Consider the following 13,149-nt stretch of genomic DNA (forward strand, 5'->3'; position numbering starts at 1 on the left):
TTGGGTTCTTATTGAAATTTTACTTTGTTAAAAGTTGACAGCAAAATATTTTGTTTCATTGCTGTGTTGGTATGTGCGTTGAAATTCAGTCCCTTACGTATATGTGTAGTATTGTGTGTGACAGCATACAAAACTATGTGTAGTTCATTATTTACTTGATGTTTTCATGGCATTATCTCTAAATACAAGTTTAATTTTGTGTAGCCCAAACCAAACTAAACCTAAAAGTCACATTTGTTATTTATTGTAATAATACTGTGTTTTTCTTTTTATTCTAAAGCATAAGTAAAAGCAAATTAAGGAGTTCCTTTTTCCTATTCCAGGGATTGCTTTAGAACATTTTAAATGATCAGTCTTAAGAAAAAAATGCTTCACATGTATAAATTTCTTTTAAAAAATCAGCCAGAATTATATATTAAAGTTATTTGTTGCTATGTCACAGAGACTAAAGTAGTATAAACACAATTAGAAATATATCAATTATTATCAAATCTCATATATTTAGTTGCTGAGAGCAAATGTAGTTATGTTATTAAAATGGGTGATTCTGATGTTTTATGGCTTTTACAAAGGAGAATCCAGCAAGTGATATCCTGATATCCTATATATTCTGTCAGTGGAGCCATTGCTTCTTAAGTGCAGTTGATTAGACAAAATTCAAATCTAGTACTTTTCCCAAACACTGGGAGGTTGGTAATATTCTCTTTGTAGCTGCAGTCTTCTCTGGATGAGAGATTAAGGGTCAAGTCAAGTTTCATTTCAGGCCTAAAATTATCTTTACTGGCATTATTTCACATTGTAGGTATGTAATGCTTCATCATGCAACTTTGCTCTAATTGTGTTTGTGGGGTGGTGTTGGTAGGGTCAAGGCAATGAAATCTTCTGGAATACAACAGGATTCCTCTGTATTTTTAAATACTGCCAGATTGTGGGGAAAGATGGACAGCTTGATACAGATATATTTGATTCTTTCTTACAATGTCTGCTTGAAATTTTACTTTGTTAAAAGTTTGCCGTAAAATATTAAAAATATTATTTCACTACAATTTTTTGTAGTGAATTAAACATCAGTATCTTTTTATACATATGAGTAATATTTAGGATATGTCTGTGTTTGAAAGAAGCTAAAGGAATTGTAGCATATGAGCTATTTTGTTTTTTTTATTCTCATTTTGGATTGGGCAAGGTATCTTCCCCTCTTCCCCATTAAAAAACAATCACCAAACAATAAACCAAACATGCTTTTAAAACAAGTTATCTAACCTACTTATACAGGTTACCATAGAATCTAAGATAGTGTGATTAGTTGCCATGTATAAGTCAACCTTAGCAAATGACTTTAAATGCTGTAGGCAAATGTACATGCTTATTAATTTGGTTTGTTATTGATATGTTTTTGCTTTATGTGCCTAATTATCACTGCCTTGTTTCCATAGCTGCAGAACCTTGGCCTGAAAATGCTACATTATATCAGCAATTGAAAGGTAAGTCTTGTTCACAATTAAAAATGGCTTTGTATCAAACTATATTTATTACGGAAAAATCCTCAGTAATACAATTTACTGCAAAGAGAATATAAAATGTAAAGAAGGGATTCCCTTGTATAATTTGTCTAGGAGGTTTTACCTGAACTTGTATCTGCCAGTGTAAACCAACTATTCATGGCCTATAAGGTCCTTAGTTTATTATTGACTCATTATATTGGCTGCTGTAGGCGGTGTAAAATGATGTGGTTGCAGGAGCAGTTGGCAGATTTACTGCACCAATAGCTGAGACAGCAGATTTTTGAAGTCCTGTGGTAAAGTGGGCTCTCAGTAAAAAGGAACTGTTAAAATGTATAGGCTAGGATGGTTCAGGCTCCCTTTAGCAGCTCTTCATATATCATCAGATCACATTATGGACCCCATTTGGGGCTTAGCAGCCTGCTACAGTTGTCAGAAGACTGCAAAGTAATGAAGACTAATAGGCAGCAGCCCTAGTCTTCTAAGCATGGAATTTTTATTGCCACGAACTTGTCATCTTTCTTTTGTGTGACGGACCTAGACACACTGTGCAATATTAACTGCAAGCTGGTTTTATATTATTGTGAATGCTTTTACTTTTAACTAGAAAGGTTTCACCAGATTTTACTTAATTTTAATGAAGAGGAACATTTCTTGAAAACTTGAAAAATGAATTGGATTTTAAGTAAACAATTTTAATTACATTGCTGATAAAATAAGTGATCAAATAGTTTTAGAGGAAACTGTCCTAGTTTATCATTATTTGTGATAATTTAATCAAAATTATAATTATATATTAACATTGATATAAAACTTTAGAATTTAGTGGTAGGCGATACCTTTGAATAAATAGAAATACTTTTTAAAAATAAAAATACTATATTCTACTTGGTTAACATTTATGCTTCATTGTATTTCCACAGGGGAGCAAATTTTACTTTCTGACAATGCAGCTTCTCTTGCAGTGCAGGTAAATATGTAAATAATGTAATATCTTTTTCACCCCCTAGGTGGTTTGCATCATTTTGACTTGCAGTTATATTTTTCCCCTTCCAAAATGTCTGATACTATATGTTTAGATTTTTTTCTGTGTGATTTACCATTATCTATATAACATTGCTTCTTTGTGAAGAATAATTTTATTATGTAATATTATTCAGTTAATTGTCAGTATATAAAATAAACATAAATTTTTTTTTTTTTTAGAAATCACTTTTATGTGGTAGGCACATTCTGTGTCTTAGCAGTTGTTTTGCTTTTGGCTGGATATGATGGTGTTGATTATTTGGGGTGATATGTTCATTTGTGGACTCACAATTATTTTCTAATTCGTTAAGATTTATTTATCACATATTTTTAAGCATTGTTTTGCTCATTGCACTCATTGGCCTCTAGCTTTTAATCTGTTTGGTAATCCTGTAGCAATGTTCTGGTTCTCTAGCCACTCCTCATATATTTATTGATTACATGAGTGTTTATTATCCCCAAACCATTTATGAAATGTAACAGCTCTTCAAGTTGTATATAACATTTGTATAATCCAAAAAAAATTAGTGCCCCTGTAAACTTTAAGCTGCATTATAGGAAGAATAGGATACTTGGGGATGGTTTGCTTAAAAAACAATGTTTATGATGTAGGTTATGGAATTATAGTTATCCAAACATTTTGCATATTTAGCTGCCATTTACTTAGCTTGTGTAGTTTAACATAGGACTGAGCATGTAGACTGTATCCACTAAATGTCTGTTGTATGAATGGTTTATAAGTGTGGTGAAAGTAGTCATGCCTTGATAACCAATGTAAAAGTAAATGATTTGCTGTGTATAAAATAATATTTTCAATCTTTATATCTTTGGAAAGACAGTTTGAAGGCACTGTGAATATTTTAGTTGAAGCACTGATTCTTAACCCTTTTAAAATTGCTATTTTGGGGATAACCCTTTCAGGATCTGGCAAAAGCTATAGAACATTTTAACAGAAAATATAGCCAGGCTATTCTGCATGTGGTTTCAGTAGGTTTACTGATTTCCCTGCTGAAGCTATCGGGATCCCCTAGGAAGAGCCCCTAAAACTACATAATACTAGTTTAGGAAGTGCTGAAGTAATTTTCATCAAATAGAAAGGTATTTTGGGTAGGAATAGACAGTGGTTTCCAACTGGGCAGCTCTTTAGTACTCCCCCTACCACCACCCTGTGACATTTGACAATATTTAAGTGTTTTTGCTCGTCAAAACGGTTGAAGGGTTGAGTGCTATTCTCATCCATTGGGTAGATGCCAGAGATGCTGCTAAAAATCCTAAAACATACAGAGTGGTCCCTGCACAACAAAGAATTATCCAGCCCCAAATGTAAATAGATTTGTCAAGGTTGACAAACCCTGGAATAGGTGAGTTAGCCAGTTTTCAGTACAAACCAAAATACCAGTATATTACCATTTAAAAAAACTAACGTTTTAAATAACCCGGAGAAGGGGGGAAAAAATAAATCTTAGTGTGTATTTTATTTGTTAATTCTATTTTTATGATTTCTATTAATTTGCTTTCTCAAATCATAGTTGCAATTAAAAATAAAACCAGAAAAAAGGACCTTTTACAATGTAGAATTTTCCTTAACCATTTCAATGTTTTTATCCTACATATGTCACTTCGATGATAAATTACGCAGCATATATTAAAATTTCTTGGTTTTCTTCAATATTCTTTGGCTTGACAGCTGATAGTAGCCATGACTATAAATGTGACTTTTCCAGTTATCTGATATAAACTTTATGGAGTAATTTTCTTCTATATAGTGGGCCAGCATTTGTTTAGAAGAATCAGTTAAAGGCCTACATTTGATGTATAAAATTGATCAAAACAATGTGACAGGTATCCACAAACTGGATTATTTTCTAGAAGATACCAGATATCAAACATCAGATATTTTAATAGTCTGCCAGTTAGGCCATTAGGAAATTTAAATTTTACTTAACACATACACTTGGTGTTTATTATACCCCCAAAACTAAGTGATTGGGTCTTTTTGAACTCTAAGAACTTTTATGATTTCAGTTTAAAAATAATTTTTTTTTCCTGTAGCTATTTCCCCTTAGATTTGCTTTCCTTCACTCTTGTATGTTGAGTATACTGAAGTATTAGTATAGCATGTTTCTCTGGTCCCTTGAGCCGAATGTGTATATATGCAGTATTATACACACATGCACACACTAGAGAGACAGAGAGAGAGAGAGAGATATCTTCCATTCTGTACTTGTGCTTTGAAGGACTTAAGCTTATGCTGACTGGAAAAAGTAACTTTGATAATAATTCTCTGTTACTATTCTCTGTTACCCCCAAATCCAAACCAGCCATCTAATAAATACACAATGTTGGCCACATTTGTGATTTGAAATTTTCTAGAAGCCTCATTTAACAAAAGTAAAAAGAAATTGGCAAAATGTATTTTAATAATATGCATTATTTTACCCAGTATATCCAAATATTATTTTAGTATGTAACCAATACATAATTTATTAATGGGACTTTTTATATTAAGTTCAAAATCTGATGTGTATTTTACACTTACAGTACCTCTCAATTTATGCTAGCCAGATTTCAAATGCCCACTAGTCTCGTGTAGCTAGTGGCTTTTGTGTTAGACACTGCAGGTTTAGAATACAATATGAGCAAATACATATATGCTCTCAAAGGTTTTGGCCAAATTGTTTTATTTAAGAAGTTTATGTCTATTGATTGAGTATATGCTGTCTTTTATAGAAGATTCCAATTGGTATCTGTTTCAAAAAACAGCAAACCCTAAATAGAGCTCTTTGTTTCAAGTTTGCTCAAATGTAAAATAGAAATATAATAGAAGCTATCCTGTTGGGTAGGATAGGATTGAATATGTTAACATATTGAATGTGAGGATTGAATATGTTAACATATGTAAAGCACTTAGAAGAGTACCTGGCATATTGTAAATATGCAATGAATGCTGTTTATTACTTCTTTCTCTCCTAATTCTTTGAAAGAAATACACGTATTCAATGTTAGTAAGAGGAATGGAAGCTTGCAGCCTTCATAGTACCTGAAAACACTAGAGTAATTGAAAACAAATGTTATGTGTAAGAATCTTTTTTGGACATGTTTGTGTTTGTGTGAACATTAACTTTTGTATCATTCTTTATCTAAAAATTAATATTGAATGCTTTAATGCAAACAAAATTTTATTGATACTGAATAATATATTTTAAAACAGTATTTATTGAATACTTTTATTGTATAAGACACTCTATTGAAAGCTTTTATGTGGAGCATTGCGTTCAATCCTTCCCATGACCCTAGTGCACAGTACTATTATTATCCTCATTTTAAAGATGTGGAAACTGAAGCTCAAAGATGCTTCGCCCACATTTCATAGAACCCACAAATTGTGGAGATAAACAGAAAACAACAACGACATTGGTTGAGTGCCACCTGTGCTTGTCACTGTGCTGAGCTCTTAATTCATATTAACCCATTTAATCCTTATAACAACTGTATGAGGTAAGTGCTGTATAAGGTAGGTATCATAAATAATCCTTTCACACAGCTACCCTATGAGGTAGGTACTATTATTATTCCTATTTTCCTACAGATTAGGAAGGTAAGGCAGAGAGGTTAAACAGTGAGCTCAAAGTTACATAAATAGTATGTGGCACAGCTGGAATGCAGACCCAGGAAGTCTGGATCGACAGTCCACACTCATAACACTTTGCTGCATATTGGTCTAGTCCAGTGATAACAGATATTGAAGTTTCACCTAACAATAAGTGATCATTTAATCACAAATTACTTCTGACATTTCTTAGTAAATTATATCTTATGATTAATAGTTTACATTAAGGAGTAAAAGAACATGTCTTAGCTTTTGTATCTTTGAAATGGGATAAAGATAGTCTTACCTCTATAATATTATGAAGCTCAAGTTAGGTAATAAATGGGAAATTCTTTTGAAAAAAGTGAAAGGAATAGGAATGTAAGATGTCAAATACAGAATTAGTGCCTATTTTGACTTCAAAGATTTATGTACATATTTTGTGAGTGTCTTTATATAATAAAATGTTACTTTCTAATAAGTTTTAGAAGTCCAATGTGCTAGCCGTTGCACAACAGAGACTTTCTAGTAAGTTTTAGAAAGAATTTCGCTTCATGTATGTGAAGCCAGTTTTAAAAAGCTGGTGTTTTTTTTTTTTTTTTGTATGGCTTAATCTAGATATTATAAAAATTTGAATTTGTTTTTTAGAGTGTCTCAAACTGATGATCATTATTAGAATATTGCATGAACAAGTAATCTTACTTTGTCCTTTTTACTTCAAGTAAGAATAGCATTTAAGGTAAAGTGAAGGAGAATGTTCTTGTTCCATTTAATATTTTTACTTTTTCTTACTCTTTGTTAATAAATACTTTTCTCTAAAAATGAAAGGGAAGACAACAGAAAAAAACTATTTTATTTCTGTTGAATGTAGTATATAATTTAAAAGTCAGCATTTTGTTTTGTTTTGTTTTTTTGAGATGGAGTCTAGCTCTGTCGCCCAGGCTGGAGTGCAGTGGCGTGATCTTGGCTCACTGCAACCTCCATTTCCCAGGTTCAAGTGATTCTCCCACCTCAGCCTTCTGAGTAGCTGGGATTACAGGTGTGTGCCACCAAGCCCAGCTATTTTTTTGTATTTTTAATAGAGACGGGGTTTCACCATGTTGGCCAGGGTGATCTTGAACTCCTGACCTCAAATGATCCACCCATCTCAGCCTCCCAAAGTGCTGGGTTTACAGGTGTGAGCCACTGCACCTGACCAAAAGTCAGCATTTTTATAGGCCCCATTAATGCTGGGCCATGAACACTCACATTTCAGATTTGATGATAAATACTTAGCTGACCCTTGCATTTTCCTTTTAGCAAATGATGCTTTCTAGAAGGATGTATTAATTATTGGCTAATGCTAATATCCAAATGTAGTGTTTGGGAAAGGGCAGGAGAGAGGAATATCTGTCTTTCTTTTGAGGCTGCAGGTTGATTACTGCCTTAGAGACAAAACTTTGAGTGTGAAAATACAGCTGCTGTAAATTTGTCTTGTCATTTAAATGGCCATAGTAGACAGCTACCTGCAGAATTTTAGAGGAAATGATTTTGAATTTTCAGTTTGATTGGATACATTTTGTTTTAAATGAGTTGTTCAGGGTTTTATGCCATTTTAAAGGATCAGTTTAAACCTGATGTAAATAGAAGTAGGATGACATGAGTGGACATATTTTAATAAATAATATAATATTTTATGAAAAAGATTTAAAAATTGACAAAACTTTATTAAAGCCTCATAAAGTATAAAGTTTTAGGTTTTTAAAATTTGTACATTCCTCTCAATTTGATCATCCTCTGTCAGATGAGGCTTCTGAATTCACTTTCAGGATTAGATGAAGGAAAGGAAAGCTAAGGGATAAATAGAATTTAGTGAACATTTATGAGATATAGAGACTTGTAAAGTCCTTTTCAGTATTCCAGACAAGCAAAATGGAGGCTGCAGATGTTTCTTTGATATCACTGAGTTTAAATTCTTCAGACTGATTGTCTTACATTATTATAGTTTGTGTGTCAGAAATGTTAAAGCATTTTGCTGATTTATGCTCATAAGACCTTGGATTATTTCAGTATATAAAATGTGATCTTTATCAAGATAATTGTGAACTTAAATTGCAAATAGAATTTAGCAGATTAAAAAACAAATCTCAATATTAGTTTCTCAACACTTAAATGGCATGGTGTATATACAACATTAAAATTAGGCAGTGTAGAATTTGTGGAAATGAAGTATATTCAAAATAGAATTAGGTGGCTATAGGAGTTGTTGTTTTTAGTAATTAGTGAAATAATGTAAAATGTTTTTAAAGGGTAATGGTTTACTGATATAAATACGTATTTAACTTAACGAAAATTCACACTCCTGTAGTTCTGAGAGATTGCAACTTAGAATATCAGCTGTGTACTTTTTTGTTTAAAAAGTAAATAGCAAGCAGGATTTTATAGTTTGTTGCTATTAAACAGAACCATAAAGATACAGTAGTAAGATGGAAAAACAACAGCCTTTTTTTAAAACAGAAAAAGGCTAGAATTTTTCATTATTAGATATACAATATCAACATAATCAATCTAGCAGCATTATATTTGAGCTGAAAATACACTTAAATTTGAGGCCATACACTACCCTGTGTGAGTGAAACATCTTTCATATAGTTCTAAGATGAAATTACCCTTGAATGAATAGCATCTTCATTTATCTTCAAACCCCTTCTGTGCTTTTAGTGAATCTATTCTTTGAACATTCTACAACAAGAATTACATTATACTGTTATACCAGAGTACTTCTGCAGTGTGAAATAGATTGGTTTGGAAAATGAACCTGGCTTTGCTATAAATTACATTCACAGGTACAAAGGAATTTGTTATTTTGTTTAAAATAGTCACAAATATAATTAAGGTCTTAATTTATGTTAAACTACAAATATGGCTGTTATGGTAACTGGATTAGGAACTTAATCTGTTGCGTCAAGAATGATACCTAACACTTTTCATTTATAACCTTAGATACCTTATTTCAATTACAGGGTCTGCAGCTGTTTGATATAAAAATGAATTATTTTATAGATAGATTTGTTCATGGTTTTTAATTTTAAATTGTGCCTCTTCAGTAAGGTAGAAAATAATTCTTCAATTGTCACAAATTTTCCTTTGTGTCTGGTTGAAAAAGGATATGAATTAAAATTCACAATCATTTTTATTTTGTGTCCTGAAAATGGCATTGCATGCTTGCGAGTAGTCGTTAGTGAATTCTTACATAAAATATTTCAAATTTAATTAGGAAATAAATAGAAGCTTTGTTCTAAAGAAGAAAAACCTGAGGTCTGCTGTCTAAGGATAGCTTTACCTGGTTGGACTGAAAATGGATTGCTACCTATCTAGAATTTGAATAACTTTGTTCATGTGACTTACATAAATTTAGAAGCTGTGTTTATAACGCCTTGAATCTCATGGTATTAATCAGTGTAAAGCATCTAATCTTTAAAAACTTATTAAAGGCAATTCTTTAAAATTTTGAATTACTTTTATATTTTTATTGGCAAGCAATGCTGATTTTATTGCTTAGGTGCAACTAAAGAGAGTGTGCTGTGTATCTAACTTGAAAGACAAATGTTCATTTTTGTCTTTGGAATAAAGAAGAGGAAAGAAGACAGTTGGTGCTGGTCATTGGCAAGTGTTTCAATATTGAGTTACTATTAGTTAATTAAAAAGAATATATGTTCCTTCCATCTACTAGTTCATCCTAAGAATTTTAATTTTTTTGTTATTATTTTTATCAGTTGGGAATTTTCTTGTAAGTAACAAAATTTTAAAGCATTCATTATAGGAGCTCAGAAAAAGAATATATATATTTTTTCGTTTTCTCCCCAACTGTTCATTGAGTGCTAACTATGTAACTGCTGTTGTGTTAGGTTATTGGGTTACAAGAATTGTTCTTTCTGTACTTTCGACTATTTTATAACTCTTGCTTAATTTTGACCCTACAACTTTATGAAAGTTGTAAACAAGATAGACATGGTCTGTATGTACTAATGAAGCTTATATTCTTGGGAGGACAGGCTTTTATCCGTTCATTTATTGGTTTTATCAGTGCGTTATTTATATGTAATTATCACAGGGAAAGCTTATATCTTTCTCTATTCTAATTGTCTCTTTTGTTGCTTTCAGAAATAACCTGATTTTTTTCTATAGCTGTCAGATGTTGATGTATCTAAAATTGACTCAAATATTCCAGGAGTAGTTTCTAGGTGAGAGTTTCATTAAGGAAGGTCAGTCTATGAAGTGATATGTCTTCAAATGTTCTCTCAAATAACATTTCATATTTTTTGGTAATAAATTCACTCTCTTTAAAGCTTTTTATGCTTATTGAATTGTGGTTTCTGATTTCTACATAGATCATTATTATTATTTTTTATACTTTAAGTTCTAGGGTACATGTGCACAATGTGCAGGTTTGATACATAGGTACACATGTGCCATGTTGGTTTGCTGCACCCATCTACTCATCATTTACATTAGGTATTTCTCCTAATGCTATCCCTCCCCCAGCACCCCCACCCCCTGACAGGCCCCAGTGTGTGATGTTCCCTGCCCTGTGTCGAAGTGATCTCATTGTTCAATTCCCATCTATGAGTGAGAACATGTGTTTGGTTTTCTGTCCTTGTGATAGTTTGCTGAGAGTGATGGTTTCCAGCTTCATCCATGTCCCTACAAAGGACATGAATTCATCCTTTTTTATGGCTGCATAGTATTCCATGGTGTATATGTGCCACATTTTCTTAATCCAGTCTATCACTGATGGACATTTGGGTTGGTTCCAAGTCTTTACTATTGTGAATAGTGCTGCAATAAACATGTGTGCATTTGTCTTTATAGTAGCATGATTCATAATCCTTTGGGTATATACCCAGTAATGGGATTGCTGGCTCAAATGGTAATTCTAGTTCTAGATCCTTGAGGAATCGCCACACTGTCTTCCACAATGGTTGAGCTAATTTACACTCCCACCAACAGTGTAAAAGCATTCCTATTTCTCCACATCCTCTCCAGCATCTGTTTTTTCCTGACTTTTTAATGATTGCCATTCTAACTGGCATGAGATGATATCTCATTTTGGTTTTGATTTGCATTTCTTTGATGACCAGTGATGATGAGTATTTTTTTCACGTGTCTATTGGCTGCGTAGATGTCTTCTTTTGAGAAGTGTCTGTTCATATCCTTTGCTCACTTTTTGATGGGGTTGTTTTTTTCTTGTAAATTTTTTTGAGTTCTTTGTAGATTCTGGATATTAGCCCTTTGTCGGATGGGTAGTTTGCAAAAATTTTCTCCCATTCTGTAGGTTGCCTGTTCACTCTGATGGTAGTTTCTTTTGCTGTGCAGAAGCTCTTTAGTTTAATTAGATCCCATTTGCCTATTTTGGCTTTTGTTGCCATTGTTTTTGGTGTTTTAGACATGAAGTCCTTGCCCATGCCTGTGTCCTGAATGGTATTGCCTAGGTTTTCTTCTAGATTTTTTATGGTTTTAGGTCTAACATTTAAGTCTTTAATGCATCTTGAATTAATTTCTGTATAAGGTGTAAGGAAGGGATCCAGTTTCAGCTTTCTACATATGGCTAGCCAGTTTTCCCAGCACCATTTATTAAATAGGGAATCCTTTTCACATTTCTTGTTTTTGTCAGGTTTGTCAAAGATCAGATGGTTGTAGATGTGTGGTGTTATTTCTGAGGGCTCTGTTCTGTTCCATTGGTCTATATCTGTGTTTTGGTACCAGTACCATGCTGTTTTTGTTACTGTAGCCTTGTAGTGTAGTTTGAAGTCAGGTAGTGTGATGCCTCCAGCTTTGTTCTTTTTGCTTAGGATTGTCTTGGCAATGCAGACTCTTTTTTGGTTCCATATGAACTTTAGTTTTTTCCAATTCTGTGAAAAAAGTCATTGGTAGCTTGATGGGGATGGCATTGAATCTATAAATTACTTCAGGCAGTATGGCCATTTTCACGATATTGATTTTTCCTATCCATGAGCATGGAATGTTCTTCCATTTGTTTGTGTCCTCTTTTATTTCCTTGAGCAGTAGTTTGTAGTTCTCCTTGAAGAGTTCCTTCACATCCCTTGTAAGTTGGATTCCTAGGTATTTTATTCTCTGTGTAGCAATTGTGAATGGGAGTTCACTCATGATTTGGCTCTGTTTGTCTGTTAATGGTGTATAGGAATGCTTGTGATTTTTGCACATTGATTTTGTACCCTGACACTTTGCTGAAGTTGCTTATCAGCTTGAGATTTTGGGCTGAGACGATGGGGTTTTCTAAATATACAATCATATCATCTGCAAACAGGAACAGTTTGACTTCCTGATTTCTTAATTGAATACCCTTCATTTCCTTCTCTTGCCTGATTGACCTGGCCAGAACTTCTAACACTGTGTTCAATAGGAGTGGTGAGAGAGGGCATCCTTGTCTTGTGCGGGTTTTCAAAGGGAGTGCTTCCCATTTTTGCCTATTCAGTATGATATTGGCTGTGGGTTTGTCATAAATAGCTCTTACTATTTTGAGATATGTTCCATCAATACTTAGTTTATTGAGAGTTTTTAGCATGAAGCACTGTTGAATTTTGTCAAAGGCCTTTTCTGCATCTGTTGAGATAATCATGTGGTTTTTTTCATTGGTTCTGTTTATGTGATGGATTACCTTTATTGATTTGCGTATGTTGAACCAGCCTTGCATCCCAAGGATGAAGCCGACTTGATCATGATGGATAAGGTTTTTGATGTGCTGTTGCTGGATTCGGTTTGCTAATATTTTATTGAGGATTTTCGCATTGATGTTCATCAGTAATGTTGGTCTAAAATTCTCTTTTTTTGTTGTGTCTCTGCCAGGCTCTGGTATCAGGATGATGTTGGCCTCATAAAATCAGTTTGGGAGGATTCCCTGTTTGGAATAGTTTGAGAAGCAATGGTCCCAGCTCCTCTTTTTACCTCTGGTAGAATTTGTCTGTGAATCCATCTGGTCCTGGACGTTTTTTGGTTGGTACGCTATTAATTATTGCCTCAATTTCAGAGCCT

General features: G+C 33.2%; 1 protein-coding gene across 5 annotated transcripts in view; it reads left to right on the forward strand.

Moving 5' to 3' along the window:
* The window catches only part of MTX2 (metaxin 2), a 68,584-nt gene that overhangs the window by 25,982 nt on the left and 29,453 nt on the right, over positions 1 to 13,149 (forward strand). For all 5 annotated transcript variants that reach the window (NM_001006635.3, NM_006554.5, NM_001319098.2 and 2 more), the window contains 2 exons: positions 1,437 to 1,484; positions 2,426 to 2,472. In NM_001006635.3, coding sequence (NP_001006636.1) covers positions 1,437 to 1,484; positions 2,426 to 2,472 — 95 coding nt within the window. The remainder of the gene's footprint in view (positions 1 to 1,436; positions 1,485 to 2,425; positions 2,473 to 13,149) is intronic.

This window comes from Homo sapiens, chromosome 2, assembly GCF_000001405.40.
Source record: "Homo sapiens chromosome 2, GRCh38.p14 Primary Assembly".
Classification (NCBI taxonomy): Eukaryota; Metazoa; Chordata; class Mammalia; order Primates; family Hominidae; genus Homo; species Homo sapiens.